The sequence below is a fragment of the Homo sapiens genome, chromosome 9 (assembly GCF_000001405.40).
Source record: "Homo sapiens chromosome 9, GRCh38.p14 Primary Assembly".
NCBI lineage: Eukaryota > Metazoa > Chordata > Mammalia > Primates > Hominidae > Homo > Homo sapiens.
In genome coordinates, this window is record NC_000009.12 from 112383538 (window position 1) to 112408577 (window position 25040).

The 25040-nt window shown below is 42.2% G+C and overlaps 1 protein-coding gene across 5 annotated transcripts in view; it reads left to right on the plus strand.

The window, feature by feature from the left end:
• Nucleotides 1-25040, plus strand: part of HSDL2 (hydroxysteroid dehydrogenase like 2) — a 92298-nt gene that overhangs the window by 3430 nt on the left and 63828 nt on the right. For 3 of the 5 annotated variants that reach the window (NM_032303.5, NM_001195822.2, XM_011519091.4), the window contains exons 2-3: nucleotides 20458-20621; nucleotides 22087-22185. In NM_032303.5, coding sequence (NP_115679.2) covers nucleotides 20458-20621; nucleotides 22087-22185 — 263 coding nt within the window. The remainder of the gene's footprint in view (nucleotides 1-20457; nucleotides 20622-22086; nucleotides 22186-25040) is intronic. The other 2 variants (NR_036651.2, XM_017015203.3) reach the window with 1 other exon arrangement.

Consider the following 25040-nt stretch of genomic DNA (forward strand, 5'->3'; position numbering starts at 1 on the left):
GGCTGCTCATTTGTCCTAGCAGCATTGACCTAAGAGTTAATCTTTTCTCTTCTGCTCGAAATTCTACCTCTGTTGTATATTAAATTCTTGCACATATAGCGCTCTGTTTCTGGACTTTCTGCTCTGCTACTTTAGTCTCTATTCATGTACCAGTACCAGACTGTTTACTTAATTAATTAATTGAGACAGGGCCTCGCTCTGTCACCCAGGCTGGGGTGCATTGGCACCATCATAGTTCACTGCAGCCTTGATCTCCTGGGGTTAAGCAGTCCTCCCAGCTCATCTTCCCAATTAGGTGGGACTATAGACATGCGCCATAATGCCTGGCTATTTTTAAAAAATTTTTTTGTAGAGGAGTCTCACTTTGTTGCCCAGGCTGGTCTCAAACTCCTGGGCTCAAGTGATCCTCCTGCCTCAGCCCCCGAAGTGCTAGGATTACAGATGTGAGCCACTCTACCCAGCCCAAACTATTTTAATTGCTCTAGTTTTACAAAATGTTTTAATATGTGGGAAAGCTAGTTCCCACCACATTTGGATTATTTTTCAGAATTTTCCTGGTTATACTTGGGTATTTATTTTTCCAAATGAAGTTTAGAATAATTTGTATAGTTTTTTGGAAACAGTTGTTCTTCCTTTTACTAAAAATTTCAGTACTTTTACCTGATTTTGGGGTACCAGAGAATTTTAGTAAATTAAACTGTAAGTTAGCTCTTCATCAGCAAGTTTTAGCCATCTATCAATAATACTAAGAAATTTGGAGCCTTCTTTGAAGTGCTCTTGCCTTCTATATTCTGGTACTAATGCTTTGGAGCTGGAGGACTTCTTACTGGCACAGATCAGGGTTATGTTTGCTTTTTTTTCTGCCAATGCCAGAGACTCTGAGTGAGGAAGAAAATGCCCTTTCTCCTACTGGGAATCAATCAAGCTATACTCAAAGCAAAGAGATATGGCTTTTTTTTACAGCAATAGTTGGGACATTTTCTTGTAAATACTTACATTAAAAATCACTTTAGCCTGTGGTCCCAGCTACTTGGGAAGCTGAGGTGAATCACTTGAGCCCAGGAGGTTGACGCTGCCATGAGCTGTTGAGGCTGTTGTGGTAAACTGAGGACCAGAGAGACCGATATTGGGAAGACAGGAGGATGTTTATTTAAGGTACTCACCGGCTCAGTGGATTCACATCCAAAAAGCTGAGCCTTGAACAAAAACAGAGTTTAGCTTATATAGGCCAGCATACAAGATCAAAACAAAGGCAGTAAATTTTACAGTGACAAATCACGTAATCCATAGCATAACTGCTGACCTGGCACTAACCTGTGGCCTTGCATAGCTAGTGGCCTAGCAGCTGCATCGAAAGAAAAACAGGAACTTTGCAAATCTTACTAAATACAAGCATTGGCAAACATAGTCATAACTAATAGTACAAGAGAGACAGTAAAGGAAATTGTTTTTCGTCTTTTAACCTTGCTCAGGGGTGTCTGGAGTTCATTTCTGCAGGCTAGGTCACCACGACCTGTCTACAGCCTTGCTTGCAGTAGTGAAAAACTTGTGCAAGACTGTCAAAAGAAAAACACAACAACAACAACAACAGAACCACTTTAATATTTTATGTATACTACCTTTTGTATGAAAAAAGGAAGGGATAGTTTTTCACATACATAGAGTGTTTTATATATATATATGTTTGCTTATGTTTGAAAAAAGTACAAAAATGATAGGCCAGAAATTAATGAAGCTGGTCACCTATAGGTAAGAGATCAGACTTCTTTTTTAAAAGTTTTTAAGTTTTATTTATTTATTTATTTTTTTGAGATGGAGTCTTGCTCTGTCGCCCAGGATGGAGTGCAGTGGCGCGATCTAGGCTCACTGCAACCTCTGCCTCTTGGGTTCAAGCGATTCTCCTGCCTCAGCGTCCAGAGTAGCTGGAATTACAGGCATGCACCACCACACCTGGCTAATTTTTTTTTTTTTTGACAGAATCTTGCACTGTCGCCCAGGCTGGAGTGCAGTGGCGCGATCTCAGCTCACTGCAGCCTCCACTTCCAGGGTTCAAGCAATTCTGCTTCAGCCTCCCGAGTAGCTGAGATTACAGGCACCTGCCACCACGCCTGGCCGATTTTTTTTTTTTTGTATTTTTAGTAGAGATGGAGTTTCACCATGTTGGTCAGGCTGGTCTCAAACTCCTGACCTTGTGATCCGCCCACCTCAGCCTCCCAAAGTGCTCGGATTACAGGCGTAAGCCACTGTGCCTGGCCAATTTTTGTATTTTTTAGTAGAGACGGGGTTTCACCATGTTGGCCAGGCTGGTCTTGAGCTGACTTCAGGTGATCTGCCCACCTCGGCCTCCCAAAGAGCTGGGATTACAGGTGTTAGGCACCATGCCCGGCCAATTTTTTTAATTTAATTTTTTTTTTTTAAATAGTAACATGGTCTTGCTATGTTGCCTAGGCTGGTCTCAAACTTGGGCCCAAGCAATCCACCCACCTCAGCCTCCCAAAGTGTTGTGATTACAGGCATGAACCACCATGCCTAGGCCTCAACTAATTAAAAAAATATTTTTTTGGTAAAGGTGGGGTCTCACTATGTTGCCCAGGCTGGTTTGTAATAATATATTTTAATTCTCTTTTTTAACCCCACAAGTATTATTTTATTATTATTGTACTCTTTCTAAACAAGATTTCTGTACTTATTTACCAATATCTTTGATTTTCCTATTTTCTTGAATTTCAGACCTTCCATCTGGAAACACTTTTCTTCTGACTGAAGTGTAACCTTTAGTAAATAAGGTGTAAGACAGGAAGAAAAAGTATTTGGATTATAATGAAATAAATAATGCTGTCGTTATTTGCCGATGATATTATCCTGCACAGAAAACCAAAATAATGTATAACTGAATTATTATAATTAATAAAAGTTTAAGAAAATTGCTATATATAAAAGTCAACAAATAAAAATAATTTTGAGCTTGGCATGGTGGCTCATGCCTGTAATCCCAGCATTTTGAGAGGCCAAGGTGGGAGAATCGCTTGAGCCCAGGAGTTCAAGACCACCCTGGGCAGCACAGTAAGACTCTGTCTCTACCAAAAAAAAATAAAAATTAACCAAGCGTGGTGATGCACACCCGTGATCCTAGCTATTCAGGAGGCTTAGTGGGAGGATTAGTTGAGCTGGGAAGGTCAAGTCTCCAGTAATCTGTGATTGTGCCATTGCACACCAGCCTGGGCGACAAAGGGAGACTCTCTCAAAAAATAATAGTAAGTTAGATTTCTACACGAGCAAAAATCTGCAAGAAGTATATAGTACATGTCAATAAAAATGAGAAGTTCAAAATCCCAGATATGGACTCCACTACAGGACATATGATGTATATTCTTCAGCAAATAAATGGCATAAAGAGTGGAAGGGAAGCTGGCAGTGATTAAAAGAGAAACTCTTAAGGTATAACAGCCAGATGTAATGTGAGGTCCTTATTGGATCCTGATTTGATCAGGCCAACCATAAGAAAAACTGAGATAGTTATAAAAGTTTGAACATAGACAGATATTGAGTGATATTGAGAAATTATTGTTAATTTTCTTGGGTATAATAATGACATTGGTATTTTAAAAGTTTTTATCTGTTAGAAAAGTAAATACTGAAGTATTCATAGGTGAAAGTATATAACCTCTGGGATTTGGTTTCTTTTCTTTTTTTTTTTTTTGAAACAGGGTCTCACTCTGTGGTTCAGGCTGGAGTGCAGTGGTGTGAAATCAGCTCACTGCAACCTCCGTGTCATGGGCTCAGGTGATCCTCCAACCTCAGCTTCCTGAGTAGCTGGGACTATGGGTGCGTACCACATGCCTGGCTAATTTTTGTATTTTTTAGTAGAGATGGGGTTTCTCTATGTTGCCCAGGCTGGTCTCAAACTCCAGGGCTAAAGCGTTCTGCCCACCTCTGCCTCCCAAAGTGCTGAGATTATAGGCATGAGCCACCATGCCTACCTAGGATTTGTTTTCTGATGATTGCTTTCACAATTTAGTAGTTGAATAAACATGGAAGCTTATTATACTCTTTTCTGGTTTTTTAAATGTATTTGAAAATTCCATAATAAAAAGAGTCTTCGTTTTTGCACTGATTGTTTATTGGTTGCAAGGGAAGGAATAGTAACTGTGCAGTGGAGAAATATGGTAACACTATGGTTAGATGATAAAAATTGACATTATAAAGTGAGTACGGATGGACGTTGTATGCTGCCCTATGGGATATACTGAGGAAAATACAGTATCACATGTTCTGGTTGGAAATGCATAACCGGAATCTAATCATGAAGAAATATCAGTTGAATCCAAAATGAGCATTCAGCCAGGGGTGGTGGCTCATGCTTGTAATCCCAGCACTTTGCAAGACCAAGGCAGGAGAATCGCTTGAGCCCAAGCATTCAAGACCAGGCTGGCCAACATGGTGAGACCCTGTCTCCACAAAAAATAAAAAAATTAGCTGGGCTTGATGATGTGTGCCTGTAGTCCCAGCTACTCAGGAGGCTGAGGTGGGAGATTTGCTTGAGTCCAGGAGGTCAAGGCTGCAGTGAGCTGTGATTGCACCACTGTACTTCAGCCTGGGTGACAGGGCAAGAGCCTGTCTCAGAAAAAAACAAACAAAAAAAAACCCAGGCACAGTGGCTCATGCCTGTAACCCCAGCACTTTGGGAGGCCGAGGCGGGCAGATCACGAGGTCAGGAGTTCAAGACCAGCCTGACCAACATGGTGAAATCCCGTCTCTACTAAAAATAGAAAAATTAGCTGGGCGTTGTGGTGCGTGCCTGTAATCCCAGCTACTCGGGAGGCTGACGCAGGAGAATCACTTGAACGTGGGAGGCAGAGGTTGTAGTGAGCCGAGATCGCGCCACTGCACTCCAGCCTGGGAGACAGAGCTAGACTCCATCTCAAAAAAAAAAAAAAAAAAAATACGCCAGGTGTGGTGGCTTACACCTGTAATCCTAGCACTTTGGGAACCTAGGTGGGTGGATCACAAGGTCAGGAGTCCAAGACCATGGTGAAACCCTGTCACTGCTAAAAATACAAAAAAAAATTAGCCAGGTGTGGTGGTGCATGCCTGTAATCCCAGCTACTCAGGAGGCTGAGGCAGGAGAATTGCTTGAACCTGGGAGGTGGAGGTTGCAGTGAGCTGAGATAGTGCCACTGCACTCTAACCTGGGCGACTGAGTGTGACTCCATCTTGGAAAAAAAAAAGTAAGGATCATTATATTTTTTAAAAAAGGAGTGCAGACTGTATTTTTCAAAAGGTCAATATCATAAAAGACAGAAGAGGCTGCAAAAATGTTCTAGATTAACGGAGACTAAAGAGATATGTCAATTAAAAGCACTACCCTAAACCGGGTCCTGTAGTGGAAGGAAAAAATGCTCTAAAGGGCATTATTGAGTCAATTGACAAAATTAAAATACTGTGAAAGTAGATACATGAGAGACCAAGCTTTGATGTATTCAGATCACTTTTTTTTTTTTTCTTTTTGAGACAGGGTCAGTCTCTGTTTCCCAGGCTAGAGTACAGTGGTGTAATCATGGCTCACTGCAGCCTCAACCTTTGGGATCAAACAGTCTTCCTGACTGAGCCTCCCGAGTAGCTGGGACTACAGGCACACACTGCCACACATGGCTAATTTTTTAATTTTGTAGAGACAGGGTCTCACTATGTTGCCCTGGCTGGTTTCGACTTCTGGGCTCAAGTGATCCCCGTCTTGGTCTCCCAAATTGCTGGGATTATAGGCATGAGCCACTGCACCTGGCCTCAAATCACTCTTAAGTGGTTTGGAGAAAATAAGATATAGAGAAGGAGAAAGGGAGAAGGAGAGAAAATGAGCACAAATGCTAAATCATTGGGGTAAAATATTAACAATACATGAATCTGGGTGAAGGATATGTGAATATTTTTTTTGTACTATTATTCTTGCAACTTTAAATTTGAATTATTTACAAATAAAAAGTTGGAAAAAGTTAAAAACAATGGAGTACCTAGGAATAAAGCCAACAAAAGATGTATAATACCTTTCTGTAGGAAATTATATCATAATGAAATACATTAGAAAGACCTAAATAAATGGAATTATACCATGTTCATGGATTAGAACACTCACTGTCACAAAAATGTCAATTCTTTCCACTTTGAATTATAGACTTAATGTAATTTCTGTCAAAATCTCAACTGATTTCACTTGACCAGTTAGATAATGAGATTCTAAAATATATGTGGGCCGGGCGTGGTGGCTTATGCCTGTAATCCCAGCACTTTGGGAAGCCGAGGCCGGTGGATCACTTGAGCTCAGGTATTCCAGACCAGCCTAGCCAACATGGCAAAACCCTGTCTCTACTAAAAATACAAAAAATAGCCAGTCATGGTGGCGCATACCTGTAGTCCCAGGTACTCAGGAGGCTGAGGCAGGAGAATCACTTGAACCCAGGAGGCTGAGGTTGCAGTGAGCCGAGATCACGCCCCTACACTCCAGCCTGGGCAACAGAGTGAGACTCTGTCTCAAAATAAATAAATAAATAAATAAATAAATAAATAAAGTAAAAAATAAAATAAAATATATGTGGAAAATTAAAGGTCCAAATATAGACAAGAAACTCTTGAAGAAGAATAAATTGGAATCATTTGCCTTATCAGTTATTAAGACTGATAAAGCTGTTTTAATTAAGGCAGTGTGATCATGTAGATTAGTGGTACAGAATAGAGAGTCCAAAAGCAGATAATATATATATTTATGGACATTCAGTTTATGACAGAGCTGATATTGAAGAGCAGTGGGAAAGATGGGCATTTCAGACTTGGACAGTTGGTTATCTATGTAGGGAAAAAATGTATTAGTCCCTTACTTCAGTTCATACACAAAAATTAATTCCAGGTAGATTAAAGACCAAACTTATTAATTTATCTATTTAGAGACAGGGTCTCGCTCTGTCACCAAGCTGGAGTGCAGTGACATGATCATGGCTCACTGCAGCCTCGACCTCCTGGGCTCAAGCAATCCTTCACCTCAGCCTCCTGAGTAGTTGGGACTACAGGTGCACACCAATACACTGGGCTAATTTTTTTATTTTTTGTAGAGACAGGGTCTCACTATGTTGCCCAGGCTAGTCTTGAACTCCTGGGCTCAATCGATCCTCCCATCACGGCCTCCCAAAGTACTGGGATTATAGGTCTGAGCTACCACACCTGGCCTCAAGACCAAACTTTAAAGGGTAAACCATAAAACTTTTGAAATACAAATTAATCCACTTACAGGAAAAAAAGAATTTCTTAAGATTCCCAAAGCCCTGGCCATAAAAGAAAAGAATTATAAATTCTTTAACAAATTTTCTAGGCTGGACGCAGTGACTCATGTCTGTAATCCCATCACTTTGGGAGGCCAAGGTGGGCAGATCACTTGAGGTCAGGAGTTCAAGACCAGCCTGGCCAACATGGTGAAACCCTGTCTCTACTAAAAATACAAAAATTAGCCAGGCATGGTGGCACATGCCTGTAATCCCAACTATTTAGGAGGCTGAGGCAGGAGAATCACTTGAACCCAGGAGACAGAGGTTGCAGTGAGCCAAGATCACGCCACTACACTTCAGTCTGGGTGACAGAGTAAGACTCCATCTCAAAAATAATAATAATAATAATAATAATTTTCTATAATCCCAGTGCTTTGGGAGGCTGAGGCAGGAGAATTGCTTGAGGCCAGAAATTAAAGATGAGCCTGGGCGACATAGCAAGACCCTGTCCCCCCCCAAAAAATAAAAAAATTAAATTAACCAGGCATGTTGGCATGCACCCGTAGTTCCAGGTACTTGGGAGGCTGAGACAGGAGAATTGTGATCCCAGGAATAGGAGGTTATACTGAGTTGTGATTCAGACACTGCACTTCAGCCTGGGTGATACAGAAGACCCAATCTCTAATGATAAAGAATTTCTGCTAATCAAAAGACACTATAAAAATAGTGAAAAAGCAAGCCACAAATGAAAAGATACTGAAATGTATGTAATTTATAGACTTGTATGAGTCAATAAGAAAAAAGTTAACCTTATTTATAGAAAAACGGGCAAAACCAGCCAGGCTTGGTGGCTCATGCCTGTAATCCCAGCACTTTGGGAGGCGGAGGCAGGTGGATCACCTGAGGTCAGGAGTTCAAGACCAGCCCAACCAAAATGGAGAAACCCTGTCTCTACTAAAAATACAAAATCAGCTGGGTGTAGTGGCACACGCCTGTAATCCCAGCTACTTGGGAGGCTGACGCACGAGAATCACTTGAACCCAGGAGGTGGAGGTTGCAGTGAGCTGCAGCCTGGGCGACAAGAGCAAAACTCTGTCTCAAAAAAAAAAAAGAAAAGAAAAGAAAAATGGGCAAAACCAATTAATAGGAACTTTGCAAAAGAAGGTATTGGGGGAACCTGCCCCAAGTATTTCAACATAGGTTCTTTCTATTTTCCTTAAGTGTCGGCCAGCTGAGAAATAGAGACAGCACAAAGAGAGGAATTTTACAGCTGGGCCTCCAGGGGTGACATCACATATCAGTAGGACTGTGATGCCTGCCTGAGATTCAGACCAGAAAGTTTTTATTAAGAGTTTCAAAAGAGGGGGAGGTGTAAGAACAGGGAGTAGGTACAAAGATCACATGCTTCAAAGGGTGAAAAGCAGGACTACTAATAAGGGTCTAACAAAGATCACATGCTTCTGAGGGAACAGGACAAAGGGAAAAAGCAGAACCACTGATAAGGGTCTATGTTCAGTGGTGCAGGTATTGTCTTGATAAACATCTTAAACAACAGAAAACAGGTTTGAGAGCAGAGAACCGGTTGACCACAAATTTACCAGGGCAGAGTTTTTCCTCACCCTAGAAAGCCTGAGGGCACTGCAGGAGACCAGAGCGTATCTCACTCCCTCACTCCTTATCTCAACTGCATAAGACAGACATTCCCAGAGTGGCCGTTGATAGACCTGCCCCCAGGAATGCATCCCTTTTCCAGGGTATTAATATTAATATTCCTTGCTAGGAAAAGAATTTAGCAATATCTCTCCTACTTGCACATCCGTTTATAGGCTCTCTGCAAGAAGAAAAATATGGCTCTTTTTGCCTGACCCCACAGGCAGTCAGACCTTATGGTTGTCTTCCCTTGTTCCCTAAAAATTGCTGTTATTCTATTCTTTTTCAAGGTGTGCTGATTTCATATTGTTCAAACACACGTTTTACAATCAATTTGTACAGTTAACACAATTATCACAGTGGTCCTGAGGTGACGTACATCCTCAGCTTACAAAGATAACAGGGTTAAGAGATTAAAGTAAAGACAGGCATAAGAAATTATAAAAGTATTATTTGGGAACTGATAAATGTCCATGAAATCTTCACAATTTATATTCCTCTGCCATGGTTCCAACTGTTCCCTCCATTGGGGGGTCCCAGACTTCCTGTAACATCTCTCCCTTTCTTTTTATATAAATGAGCCATGGCGATGAAGGCTTGTTCGTTCTCTTGGTTTTGACGCAGGATTCGTTGACTGGTCTGGCACGCTAAAAAGTCGATTAAACAGAGAAACATGATTCCAAAATTTACTACAGTGGAGCCCCCAATAGACTTAATCCAAGTCGTGGGGTTTAGTCCAGAAAGACTTTCTGCCACCTGACCTAACGCCTCAGCTCCAGGCACAATGGATAAATAAGCTTGAGAGGCTTCAAAAATTATTGTCTTTAATTTAGTTACGTCCAAGGATAAATGATCTTCCCTACCCAGCAGGTGTCCTTTGACCATTTCCCATGACTCATCAGTCTCATTGTAGGAATATGGTGTGATACAGAAATCAGAAGTATTCCAGTCACACTGCACTTGCATGTGATATTCGAGACTCATTAGCCAATCTCCAAGCCAAATAACAGACTGTCTTAAATCGTTAATTTGATTAGCTAATTTTTGATCAATGCCCTGTTGAGAATTCCACATTTGGGTGGAATTGGCTTGCCAATCATTAACAAAATGAGCCACTTGAATAGATTGGTGTAACGCCACTCTGGCAGTGGTGGCCAGTGCAGTGACTGTAATTAGGCCCATGATCACAGCGATTAAAGTGAAAACAAATCTCTTAGATCTTTTGAGAATTTGCTGTAGCACTTCATTAATTAAATGTACTGAGGGGGAAGATTCCCAAGGTCTGGGTAAAGTTACTGGTATCCAGATTCCTTCTTGAGCTCGAACCAACATTACACTTTTCCTGAAGTCAAAACAGGAGTTAACACAAGTGCATAAATGACAATGTATTGGACAGTTTGATTGTTCATCCAAATTTTGATATTTCCCACTAACAGCATGTAAGGAGGCTTAACACAACTCTGTATAGGAATAGTCAGGCTGGAGGTAATCAAAGCAGAATGTTTGAATCTACGTTGATACTGAGGGAGAGGAGCAGCGTGGCAATGCCTGATGTTCTCCACCATAAAGAAGCAATCTGAGGTGCCCAGGGATGCCGAAGAGGTAGAGGGGCATACCTGGGTCGAGAAGAATTATCATAATGCCAATTGGAGTCCCATAAAGGGGGATCGGCGTCAAAAAGAGGAAGAGGGTTCAAAGGGGATTTATCATGGGGTTCAGAATCACAGATGTGAGGGGTGGTAGTGGGGACAACAGACAGAAAAGTTTCCCCTTCCCATACTCGCAGTCCGGACATGGCAATAGCCAATTTCCAAAGTTCTGGGTGTTCTGGGCTCAGAATGGGGAATATCATACAAAGCCTCAGGGCTGGGGTGGGCGGGTAATGCCCTTATCTTCTCATTTTAAGGGAAAGAACGAGCTGAACTACCTATGGAAAGAAGGATGGTGATCCTCGTCCTCCCAATAAGAAATAAAATAAGTAGCCTCCAGACATCCTCTTCCGCCAGAGGAGCAATTGTTTTTTAAATAGCCCTTTGGTGCCCAGTCTATTACTAAACCATGTGAGTCATTTTTTAATACTGCTGCATGTGAGTTAACACAATCTTCCTAAATTAAAGTTTTAGATGGGCCCTCAAAATTTTTAGGACATAGTTTTCCTATGGGTTTATATTGAAAATATGGGGTATCTCCTATTACTCCCCCTTTCATTTGTCTTAAAGGAGAAAGGGAGAGGCCGGAGACCAAATGTCCCCATTCCCCTGTGGCTGATCTCTCCGGAAGGTAAGCAGCCCAGACTTGAGTTTCTAGATGGATACAACCAGGTGGATGTCCGAGGCACAGAGGAGGGTATTTATAACCCATAGTAACATTAAATGCAGTGCCTTCTTCTCCTGGTCGAGTGGGGCAATGGTCATCTGTAGCTCCAGGCATATATACACTATCGTTAGTATAGATTTCTGCAGGAGCATCCATCCAGGTGAGAGGTCGAATAAGTGGAGGAAAAGGCACATAAGCCCAATAAGAATAATTTTATGTAGCAGGTAAATCAGTTTGAGGGGAAACTGGTGAGACAGAAAGTGTAAGGAGGAGAATTATTAAATAAAACCTACTGTAAGCGAGATCCAGTGCTGGAGGAGGAAGAGAAGAACAGAGGGATGTTATTTTCAGGCTAATAGAAATGGTGAGATTTTTAGGTTCGTAAGGAGAAAAAGAAAGGTAATTAGGAGATGTGGGATTAGTTAGAGGGGTCTCTGTTGCCATTTGGGAGGACTGAACCAGACCCATTTTGATTTGGCCTACCAGTTTCTGAGGAGTCGGCACAGATCTCACCAGGTATGAGGGCAGTCTCTGACGCGGACATCTCTTTTCTGTGGTTTTCATTGTCAGTATGCATACGAAGTTTAAGTCTTCTAGTGGGCACCCAGACAGGGGATTGATGATCTCCTGGTGAAACGCAAGCATACCCTCTTCCCCACGTTATAATTGTTCCAGGTTCCCAGGTATTGGTTTGGGAGTTTTTCCATAACACTGGCTTGCTTTCATTGAGGGAGAATTTTTTGCCTATGAATAGTGTTCAGCAGCATTCCCTGAGGAAGTACTTTCCATTGATAATGAGCTGCAGGCTCCTGATTATTGATAGATGGTACAGTAAAAGCAAATTTTGACAATCTGATTTATGTAAAGCAATATGAAAGAAACAGTCTTTAAGATCAATAACTATGAGAGGCCAATTCTTAGGTATTAAAGGAGGGGCAGGCATGCCAGGTTGGACGGCTCCCATAGGTTTAATTACAGCATTAATGGCCCTTAAAGCAGTTACCATCCTCCACTTCCCTGATTTCTTTTTTACTAGAAACACAGGAGAATTCCAGGGGGAAAGAGGAGGTTCCACATTTCCAAGTTGTAACTGTTCAGAAACCAATTGAGTTAAAGCCTCCAGTTTTTCTTTAGAGAGCAGCCACTGCTCAATCCAAACAGGTGTTTCAGATTTCCCTCGTAGAGGAACAGGATTAGGAGGCGTAGCAGTGGCCGTCATTAAAAAGGATAACCTAAACCAGCCCTGTCTTCTTTTACGGTAACTTGAAGAGGTTTGGTAATTCCTTCATGTCTTGGACTGAGACCGAGTCCTGGAACAAACCCCATGTTTTCCATTATATGTTGACTGGGAGCACTATAAGAGTTATGTGGAATATTAATTTCAGCCCCCCATTGTGCCAGCAAATCTCTACCCCAAAGATTAATGGGGATTGGTGTGATATGAGGCTGAATTGTACCCTTTTGACCATCAGGGCTAGTGCAAGGCAAGATAAATGTGCTCTGGTGAACTTCATCAGCTTTTCCAACCCCTACTAGTCCCATTTTAGTGGGATGTTTAGGCCAGGAGGAAGGCCATAGATTAGAGGAAATAATAGAAACATCAGCCCTAGTATCTACTAGGCCCTCACACTTTTTTCCTTGAATGTGTATGGTGCAGGTGGGCTGTTGTTTAGAAATTACATTAATCCAATAAGCGGCTTTTTCACCACCAGAGCCCATCCCAGGGCCCCGTGTCTTATCTCCTTTGCTTAAAACAATATTAGGTGGTAAAAGTAATTGAGCAATTGACTCACCAGCTGGAATGGAAACAGGAACCTTGGCAGACACCATAAGTTTATTCTCATTAGAGGAATCAAAATGAGACCAGTATGAACCGTGATTCCTTTAGTAGTAGTGGATGTCATACCTAACACCAGGCCCACCGAACCTTGAGGTAAAGGGCCAGAACCTTGAGGTAAAGGCCCCGTGAGGACAATTAAAGGGAAAGAATTAGGTAGTAAATTTAGAGGAATGGTACTACAGAGATTGACCACCCCGCCCCCTACTGTGGAGGTAGACAAGTGTACTGAGACAGAAGAAGAGGCTGGGACCTACCTGAGTTGGCTGTAGGTAAGTTTGTGTGTGCTGGGGGCTGTGTTGGGACCGCTTGAAGCAGAAATGCAACACTGGTCTGAGTCTGAGGTGTCCCATTTCATATTGGGGCCTGAGACTGGCCCCGCTTCCGATTTCCCTGGTTCTGTGGCAAGGGATTTCCATCTATATCAGACTTAGAACGGCAAGTACTTGCCCAATGTTTGCCTTTATGACAACAAGGGCAAACAGTAGCAGGAGCATTTGGCTGTGTTTGTTGAGCTGGCTTGGCTGCTTTTAAGTTTTTAATGGTGCAGTTTGTTCGAGTATGACCAAGTTGACCACAGTTATAGCAGGCTCCAAGAAAAGAATCAGTCGAGCCGGTTTGATTGCCGTCCTTCATAGCCCGTGCCCACAGAATAGCTTTGTGGGTCCCTGATCCAATGCCTTCACAAGCTTTAATATATGCAGGCAACACCTCGTGATCAGCTAAATTTTGTCATTGGATGGCATGCATGGCCATTTTACACTCATGGTTCACATTCTTAAAAGCTAACATGCTAACATACAAAGGAGAATACCTTGAGCGTGCTCATCAGAGATGAATTTTTCAACAGCATCTTGTAATTTAGCCAAAAAATCAGGATATAATTCATTGCGACCCTGTTTAACAGTAGTAAAAGAAACAGGAGCTTGACTTGGGGCACGTAATTTATCCCAAGTTCTCATACACACCTTTGTTACTTGTTCCATGGTGAGAGCATCAAAGCCTAATTGGGAGGTAGTGTCAGAGTAATTATCGGAGCCTGTGAGCTGAGCCTGAGTAATTGGAATGCCATCAGCCCAATTTAGCTGAGCCTGCAGACGGGCCTCCTCTCACCACCAGGTACGGAATTGTAAATGCTGAGATGGAGTTAGAACAGCTTTTGCCAAAAGGTCCCAGTCTAAAGGAAGCAAAATGACCTCAGTACAAAGAGTCTGTAATACCATTTTAACATATGGAGAAGTAGGACCATACTGAGTACAAGCATCCTTGAATTCTTTTAAAAAGGTAAGATTGAGCGGCCTAAATCAATGCACTTGTACCCCTTGAGCACTGGGAGATTCCAGCACGACCGGATAAGCCGACACCTCTAATCCACTTGTTTCTTTTTTCTGGCGTAATAAGTGTTGCATGGAAGTTTCAAGAACAGGCACATGAGATGGACTCGGCATAGAAATGACAGGAAAAGTATGTGTAGATAAGGGAAACTGAGGTTGAGGAGGTCGGACTGGTATGAGAGTATGAGAAAGGGGCATTGGGGGAGCAGAAAAGGCATAAGCATACTGGTGATTATTGGCTCAATCCTGTGCAACCAGAGTGGCAGGGGCATCCACGTGTGAAGAAGGGTACAGAGAAGCAGGTTGAATGGATGGCAAAGTGACCAAATGAGGGACCGAAATGACAGGAGAGTGAGGGGCTGTGGTGGATGAGGGAGGGCCTGCAGAATTACAGGTAAATTGTAGTTTGGTTCCGGAGCCATCAGATGGCTCCGGAAGCAAAGGCTGCAAAGGTTTGAAGAGGGAAGAGTTAGTATAGATATGGTCCTGGGCTGTCCAAGTCGGGTCCGTGGGAGCTACAAGTACCGGCTCCTCATGAAAAGAAATAAGATCATTGGGGGTGACGTTAAGCCAAAGTCACCAGAGTTAGATATTGAGTCCTCAATATCGTCAGGTAGGGGAGGAGTTGGTGAAGGGAGAGGCTTGAGCAGATAACGAAGGCCGAACGGGAGAGGAAACCTGAGGAAGAGGTAGAGGGTCACCAGACACAGAAAACTGTGGTAACTGCAGGGGGTTACAGGATTGGTATTTTAGGACAGCACTTACCAAGGCCCAATCACCCCAAACAGTGACGGGAGCATAATTTCCTGTTGGGACCAGTTCCTGGAATTTTGCACCAACATGATCCCATAGTCCCACATCTAACATTCCCTTTTCAGGAAACCAAGGACAGTGTTCTTCCACTGCCCTGAATAGGATGTCCATATTTTCCATAGGTACCTGAACTCCTCCCTGTTTTAACAGGAGTTTAATATAGCAGAGATAAGCATAATGCTTAGACTTCGTGTGACCCATAGTTACCCCGGACAATACACAGACAACTCACCAATTGTCAGGGAGCCGAACAAGCGTTTCTGTGAACCGGACCAATGAACGTTTCTATGCACGTACCAAAAGGAATCGGGTTCCCACATGCACTTAGGAAAAAGCCACTTGGCATGCCAGATATTGGGGGAACCTACCCCTAATATTTCAATGTAGGTTCTTTCTATTTTCTGTGTCAGCTAGCTGAGAAATAAAGAGAGACAGTACAAAGAGAGGAATTTTACAGCTGGGCTGCCGGGGGTGACATCACATATCGGTAGGACCGTGATGCCCACCTGAGTCTCAGACCAGCAAGGTTTTATTAAAGGTTTCAAAAGGGGAGGGGGTGTAAGAACAGGGAGTAGGTACAAAGATCACATGCTTCAAAGGGCAAAAAGCAGAACTACTAATAAGGGTCTAACAAAGATTACAGGGCAAAGGGCAAAAACAGAACCACTGATAAGGATCTATGTTCAGTGGTGCACGTATTGTCTTGATAAACATCTTAAACAACAGAAAACAGGGTTCGAGAGCAGAGAACCAGTTGGACCACAAATTTACCAGGGTGGAGTTTTTCCCCACCCTAGTAAGCCTGAGGGCACTGCAGGAGACCAGAGCGTATCTCACTCCTTATCTCAACTGCATAAGACAGACGTTCCCAGAGTGGCCGTTTATAGACCTCCCCCCAGGAATGCATTCCTTTCCCAGGGTATTAATATTAATATTCCTCGCTAGGAAAAGAATTTAGCAATATCTCGCCTACTTGGACATCCGTTTATAGGCTCTCTGCAAGAAGAAAAATATGGCTCTTTTTGCCCGATGCCGCAGGCAGTCAGACCTTATGGTTGTCTTCCCTTGTTCCCTAAAAATCACTGTTATTCTGTTCTTTTTCAAGGTGCACTGATTTCATATTGTTCAAACACACATGTTTTACAATCAGTTTGTACAGTTAACACAATTATCACAGTGGTCCTGAGGTGACGTACATCCTCAGCTTACGAAGATAACAGGATTAAGAGATTAAAGTAAAGACAGGCATAAGAAATTATAAAAGTATTATTTGGGAACTGATAAATATCCATGAAATTTTCACAATTTATGTTCCTCTTCCGCGGCTCCAGCTGGTCCCTCCGTTCGGGGTCCCTGACTTCCCGCAACAAGAAGGAACACAAGCGACCATTAACATGGGAACAAAAATATATTCCACCTCATTAGTAACTGGGGAAGTGCAAATGAAAATCACCTTGGGATATCATTTCATAATACTGAATTGGTGAAAAAACTTTAAGGTCAGAAATTACCAAGTGTTGGGGAGGTGGTGGAGCTACGGGAACTCTTATACTCATTCACTGCTGCTGGTAAGGATATTATCCTCTTTGGGCAGGGCATGGTGGCTCACACCTGTAATCCCAACACTTTGGGAGGCCGAGGTGGGCAGATCATGAGGTCAAGAGATCAAGACCATCCTGGCCAACATGGTGAAACCCCATCTCTACTAAAAATACAAAAATTGGCTGGGCGTGGTGGCGCATGCCTGTAGTCCCAGCTACTTGGGAGGCTGAGTCAGGAGAATCGCTTGAACCTGGGAGGCGGAGGTTGCAGTGAGCCAAGATCGTGCCACTGCACTCCATCCTGGTGACAGAGTGAGACTCCGTCTCAAACAAAACAAAACAAACAGAACCACAAACTGGATGGCTTAAAACAAATGGATGCTCTCACTGTTCTGTAAGCTAGAATTCTGAAATCAAGATGTCAGCAGGGCTGTGCTGTTGTAGTTCTGGGTAGAATCCTTCCTTGCTTCTTCCCAGCTTCTGGGGGTGGCCAGCAATCCTTGTGTTCAGGGCTTGCAGCTGCATCCCTCCAGGCTCTCTGCCTTTGTCATCACACATTCTCCATGTGGCTGTCTTTACATAGTCTTCCTTCTTCTTAGAAGGACACCTGTCCGATTGGAGTAAGGGCCTACTCCAATATGACTTCATGTTAACTAATTACATCTTCAGCAATCCTGGTTCCAACTGAGGTCACCTTCTGAAGTTAGGACTTCCACATGCTTTTTGGGGGACACAATTCAATCAATAACAGGGAGATAAGGCCGGGGTTATCTTCCTGTTATTGATTGATAACATCCCTTGCTGTTATCTTAATTTTATTCTTTTATTCTTTTTTAATGAGTTTACCAGGAAGTTATTTTAGATGTCTCCTTCTTACTTAGCAAGTGAGTAAGTAAAAAGTTTAAATGAACTTAATTTAATGCTAATAATCCCAGCACTTTGGGAAGCCAAGGCAGGAGGATCGCTTGAGCCCAGTTCAAGACCAACCTGGGTGACATAGTGAGACCTTGTTTCTACAAAAAATTAAAACTTTTTCAGGTGTGGTAGTGCACGCCTGTAGTCCTAGCTACTTGAGTGGTGAGGCAGAAAGATCACTTAAGTCCAGAGGCAGAGGTTGCAGTGAGCCACACTCCAGACTGGGCGACAGAGCAAGAACCGCTCTCAAAAAAAAAAAAAAAAAAAAAAAAAAAGTAGCAGAGAGCTAATGTTTTACCTAATTGGGATTCAAAATTAGCATTCCTTGTCATCGAATTGATCACAAATACTCATCTGTAACAATCAATCTTAGCTCCAGGGCCACACACAGACAGGTGGTGGGTCAGATTTGGCCTGGGGCCATAGTTTGCAGACTGTTGATTTAGACTCAGAGACCTAGGTACTAGGAATAATGAAAAAACAAGGGAGTGCATAACATTTAAGGTAGTTTTCGTTCTGTGGGGTGGGGGAGGGAAGGAGGATAGAGTTGGAGAGGAATATACAGGCTGGTTTCTGGGGTATTGGTAATATTCTATTTCTTGCCTTGATACTACTGTTCATTTTAATTTTGTTCATTAAACAATACACATTGTTTTACATGCTTTTTATATGTGTGCTATATTTCATGAAAAATAATTTCAACCTCTCTGACTTCTCCCCACTTCTCCACTCTCCCTCCTTCTTACCAAACAAATTATTCCTTATTTTAAAACCGCTTCCCACTTTTACCTCTGATCTCTTTCTTCTGGAGTGTAATCCTCTGGGTCGTGCAAGAGTTTTATGTTCCTTTATTAACAAACCTGTTAATCTATCACCAATCTCAGGTCATCCCTTTTTCTTTGTCATTGTCACTTTTGCTCTTCTTTCTCCATTCTTTTCCTTAAGCAGACTTTTAAATTTGCCCTTAGAAAGTAAATAAGAAAGCGGGTTTCCCTTGCTGTTATCTTTATTTTATTCTTTTAGTTTTTCTTTTATGAGTTTACTAGGAAATTATTTTAGGTGTCTCCGTTTCACTTAGCCACTGAGTAAGCAGAAAGTTTAAGTGAACTTAATGAAATGGGGGGAGGCCAGGGTGGGAGGATCACATAAGGCCAAGAGTTTGAGACCTGCCTGGGTAACATACCAAGACCCTGTCTGTACAAACAATTTTAAAAAGTAACTGGGTATGGTGGTGTGTGCCTGTAGTCCCAGCTACTTGTGAGGCTGAGATGGGAAGATCATTTAAGCCCAGGAGTTCAAGGCTGCAGTGAGCCATGATTGCGCCACTGTACTCCAGCCTGGGTAACAGAGCTGTCTTAAAAAAAAAAAAAAGCACGTAGGAGTTCAAGGCCAGCCTGAGTAAGATGGTGAGACCCCATCTCCATTTAAAAAAAGCAAAAAACAGGCTAGCCGGGCGCGGTGGCTCATGCCTGTAATCCCAGCACTTTGGGAGGCCAAGGCGGGTGGATCACGAGGTCAGGAGTTCGAGACCAGCCTGGCCAACATGGTGAAATCACGTCTCTGCTAAAAATACAAAAATTAGCTGGGCGTGGTGGCCCACGCCTGTAGTCCCAGCTACTTGGGAGGCTGAAGCAGGAGAATTGTTTGAGGCTGAAGCAGGAGAATTGCTTGAACCCGGGAGGCAGAGGTTGAGTGAGCTGAGATTGCACCACCGTACTCCAGCCTGGGCGACAGAGCGAGACTGTGTCTCAAAAGAAAAAAAAACACACACACACACACAAAACACACACACACAAAGAATGAAATGGGCACAGGGACCCATCAGTACATTTGAATCAGAATATTTCAGATCAACCTGCAGCAATTTGTGAGCGTTTGTTTATTTAACAGCTCTTTTGAGATGTGATTCACGTACCCCACTATGCAGTCATTTAAAATACGCAATTCATTGGCTTTTAATATATTCACAGAGTTGTGCCACCATCACCACAGTCAATTTTAAAACCTTTAATCATCCTAGAAGGAAACCCCTCAACCCTCCGTTGTCAGCCTCCAATCCCTCCCACTCCCAGCTCTAGGTAACCTCTGATCTTTCTGTCTCTATAGGTTTGCCTATTCTGGACATTTCATATAAATGGCATCATATGTGGTCCTTCATGACTGGTTTCTTCCTCTTAGCAGAATGTTTTTGGTTCATCCATGTTGTAGCTCATAGCAGTACTTTATTGCGGAACATTATTTCATTGTATGCGTGGCTACACCACATTCTGCTTATCCGTTCATCAGCTGATGGACGTTTGAGTTGTTTCCACCTTGGCTATTATGAGCATTCATTGAACAATTATTTGCTTTTAGGTAATTTATTTTAAGTGGTATGTAGTCATTGTGGAAACTTTGAAAAATATTAAAGAATATAAAGGATGTGATAAAATTTGCTCATAATCCCACCACTCAAAAAAAAAAAGCTTTATTAACACGTTTTCTGTGGGGAAAAAAATGCATGTTTATATAATTTGTTTTATAATTCTTTATTTCTCTTGAAGATTTGCTTTGCATTTGAACAGATTTTGTTTGCTAAATCACAGCAAGACTGGCCAACTGCAGTTGTCATAAATAATTTATCAGTCATTGTGCAATGGGAGTATAGTGGAGTTATCTGCCATCAGATGGGCATGGGGAGGGTTTAGAGAAAATTTCACAGAGGAGGAAACATATATTATGAAAATATGCATGAGGTTCTGATACCTGTCAGTAAATAAAACATTGGGTCTTCTAATAAGGTCGTATTTGTTCTGTTGTAGGAGGCTGGCAGGATGTACAGTTTTTATCACAGGTGCAAGCCGTGGCATTGGCAAAGCTATTGCATTGAAAGCAGCAAAGGATGGAGCAAATATTGTTATTGCTGCAAAGACCGCCCAGCCACATCCAAAACTTCTAGGCACAATCTATACTGCTGCTGAAGAAAGTGAGTGTGACAGTGCCATTTGATAAAATGTCTTTCTAGTGGTTTCAATACATAGAGAATTTGCTGGAGAGTTTAGTTAAAGCTATTTGAAAGCTACCCTGAACATAATTTTATCTAGTGAAAGAAGTATTTATGTTGTCACCTTGGGGCAGTGCTTCTGACCGTTTTTCTCCACCAGCACTTTTAAGCAATGTGAGAAACTCCAGTTAAAAATCTTATTTCATGGCGGGGCGTGGTGACTCACACCTGTAATTTCACCCAGCTACTCGGGAGGCTGAGGCAGGAGAATCACTTGAACCTGGGAGGTGGAGGTTGCAGTGAGCCAAGATCATGCCACAGCACTCCAGCTTGGGTGACAGAGCGAGACTCCATCTCTTAAAAAAAAAAAAATCTTGGTTCTTGAGGGCAGTGGTTCTTGGATGGGAGGGGGAGTAGGGAAGTGGAGTAGAGAGGAGAGAATTTGATTGGTGAGTGGCATGAACTCTTTGAGAAAGCGTTCTGTGTTATTTATTCTCTGTACAATTTGCAAGTCATCATTTTAATACTTTTAGTTGACAAATAATTATCACATACTTCTATTTAAGGCATAGCGCTAGGCACAGAGCCAGGAGAGAGGGCTTAAAAATTCAAGTTCAGTTGACATTGCTAGTTTTGTTAATCATGTTCAGAGCACTGTGGTTATGTTAGAGGAATGCATGTGAAGTGTTTATGAGTGAAATGATGTCAGGGATTTGCTTTAAAACACACCAGCAAAAAATAAAACAGGGGACAGGAAAGATAAACATATTAACTGACAAAACTAACAATCGTTGAAGATAGGTGATGGATTCCTGTTAGTTTATTACAGCATCTTTACATTTTTATATAGTTTAGAATATTTCCACAATAAAAAGTTTTTAAAAATTACTTTCAACTGGGTGAGGTGGCTCAAGCCTGTAATCCCAGCACTTTGGGAGGCCAAGGCGGGTGGATCACTTGAGGTCAGGAGTGCGAGACCAGCCTGACCAACATGGCAAAACCGTGTCTCTACAAAAAATAGAAAAATTAGCCTGGCGTGGTGGTGCATGCCTATAGTCCCAGCTACTTGGGAAGCTGAGGTGGGAGGATCCTTTGAGCCTGGGAGATTGAGGCTGCAGTGAGCTGTGTTTGTGCCACTTCACCCAAGCCTGGGCAAGAGAGTGAGACCCTGTCTGAAAAACAAAAACAAACAAACAAAAAACTTCCTTTTTTTAGCTTTTTAAAAAAATTACAAAGAAACCCCCACCAAACCTTCGTTTTTGTTTTTTAATAGTGTTAGCCTAGCTAGTCTGTCCTGCTATATGGTAGAGTCACTGGTGGTAAGATAGAGTTATTTATATTGATTTTCTGAAAACAGGGTACTTTTTTCTTTTGACTGTGATATTGGAATTAAAGGTATAATATTTAAATGCTTTAACGCTTTTTCATTTTGTATCCTTTATATAAGTTGAAGCAGTTGGAGGAAAGGCCTTGCCATGTATTGTTGATGTGAGAGATGAACAGCAGATCAGTGCTGCAGTGGAGAAAGCCATCAAGAAATTTGGAGGTAATACCTTCATTCTGAAAAAATTATTGGATATTGGTAAAATAAAGGTATAACTATAATGTTAATTTAAAAATTTGTTTTGAGTTTTGAATTTTCTGAGTCTTTGGAGAAATACGTATTTGCTCACACAGAACATGATTTAAAACCATCTGATAAGGCTGGGCGTGGTGGCTCACACCTGTAATCCCAGCACTTTGGGAGGCCGAGGCAGGCAGATCACTTGAGGTCAGGAGTTTAAGACCAGCCTGGCCAACATGGTGAAACCCCGTCTCTACTAAAAATACAAAAATTAGCTGAACATGGTGGTGGATGCCTGTAATCCCAGCTACTCAGGAGGCTGAGGTGGAAGAATTGCTTGAACCTGGGAGGTGGAGGTTGCAGTGAGCTGAGATTGCACCACTGCATTCCAGCCTGGGTGACAGAGCAAGACTCTGTCTCAAAAAGAAAAAAAAAAAAAAGAAAAAGAGTGTGGAATGATAGACTGTGGAGACTGGGAAGAAAGAAGGGATGCAAGGGGGGTAGATGAAGAGAAATTACTTAATCGGTACAATGTTTGCTGTTTGGGTGATGGATACCCTAAAAGTCCTGGACACTGCACAATCTATGTATGTGAGAAAATTGCACTTGTGCCTTATATATTTGTTTTTGAAAAAATTCTTCCTTTATGTGGTTAAATTTCATCTTCTTCACAAAGTCAGTTCCCTCACCATGCCAACTAATCAGAATTATATTTTTCTTTCTCTGATTTCTTTTTTCTTTTTTTTTGAGACTGAGTCTTGCTCTTGTCACCCAGGCTGGAGTGCAGTGGCGCAATCTCGGCTCACTGCAACCTCTGCCTCCTGGGTTCAAGCGATTCTCCTGCCTCAGCCTCCCGAGTAGCTGGGATTACAGGCGCCTGCCACCATGCCCAGCTAATTTTTGTATATTTAGTAGAGACAGGTTTCGCCACATTGGCCAGGCTGGTCTCGAACTCCTGACTTCATGATCCACCCAACTCAGCCTCCCAAAGTGCTGGGATTACAGGCGTGAGCCACCGTGCCCGGCCTCTCTGATTTCTTAAAACATTCATTTGATCCTTATCTTGTACTATTTTAGATCTTAGTATTTCTTTTCTCCCCAATTAGTTCAAAAGTTCCTAGAAAAAAGGTGTTGGGGATTGAGCTAAGGCTTTCATGGTATTATAGTAGGGCACCTAGGCATGTCCAAATCCTGCCTAAACCATTACCACTCTCCCCGCTAATGTTCTGGAGGACCATATGTACATGTGAGGGACAATGGCCAGTGGAAAATGAGGGAATGCTTCAGTGTTAGCAAGGCTGTACTTATAATCCCAATGCAGAGTGCTGTGGGGTGCTGGACTGAAGCACGGAGCTTTGGCTCAAGTGGAGCCTCTTCCCTTAAATCCAAAATCTTACCCCTAGCCGGCAGCCTTTCCCAAAGAAATGTGAATGCCTGTGTCAGAAGAGGAGAGAAAATGCAAAATGATGTTTGTCCAACTGATAGGGCGCTAAATGTGAAATGTGCCACGCTCAAATGCAGGATATTTTATCTAAAATGACTTCACCTAGTAGTAAAAGTGGTTAACTAGTGCCACTTAGGATTTGATGTAATTAGTTTATCCACTAATTTTTGGAGAGGACGTAAGGGGAGAAAGCTGAAGCTTTTCATTCTCCCATATTCATTCAGTTTTAGTTCTTTTTTTTTTCTTCTTTGAAACAGGGTCTCACTCTGTCACCCAGACTGGTATGTAGTGGCATGATCGTGGCTCACCACAGCTTTGGCCTCCTGGGCTCAGGTGATCCTCCAACCCCAGCCTCCCAAGAAGCTGGGACTATAGGTGCCCACCACCAGGCCTAGCTAATTTTTGTGTTTTTAGTAGAGATGGGGTTTCACCATGTTGGCCAGGCTGGTCTCAAACTCCTGACCTCAAGGGATCCACCCACCTCAACTTCTCAAAGTGCTGGGGTTACAAGCATGAGCCACTGTCCCCAGCCTTGAATTTATTATTTAATTTTTTAAAATTGTGGTAAAATACACATAACATAAAATTTACCATCCTATTTTTAAGTGTACAGTTCAGTGACATTGAAGTTTATTATATTGTTACACAACCATCATTAAGTACACTTCACAAAGAATAATGAAGACCAGGTAGAAACAAAGAAAAAATGTTTGACATAGTTTTTGTATTTTTACCATTTTCCTTTAATGTTATTTCACTAAGCATATAACTATAAGCAAAACTTGTTGGTTATAGGTAGAAACTAGATAGAATTTGCAGAAATAGTAGTTACTCTAGGTTTATTTTTTGTGTGTGTGTATGAGTCACTAAAACAAAATTGATCCACTTTGATGATCTGCCTGGGATTGAAACAGTAGGTCTTTCTCTTTTCCCAGTTCTCAAGACCAGAAAGGAGCCTTTCCCTTTAAGTGAGGGGCCTTGGGGGAAGGGAGACTACTATGCTTGGAGGGAGGACAGGCCTTTGAAACTTCATGCTAGAGAGGAAGAAAGACTTTAAGGAATTTGATCCAAGGTTTATGGAGACAGGGAGGGACAACCAGGAGGTAAGAGAACAGTTAAGAGTGGAAGCTACAAACCACCGAAGACTAAGCCTCCTTGTAGTTTCACATGGAGCTCTGGCAATTGGCTATATCTCCACTGTGCTAGTGACAATCATGCAGGTGCTATTTTGAAATAGCTACCAGTCTTGCATTGGTAGTGGTTAGTCATATTATCTAAAGGAAGTATAGCCATGCATTGCTTAATGATGGGGATATGTTCTGAGAAAGGCATTATTAGGTGATTTTATGATCGTATGAACATAGAGTATACTTACACAAACATAGATAGTCTA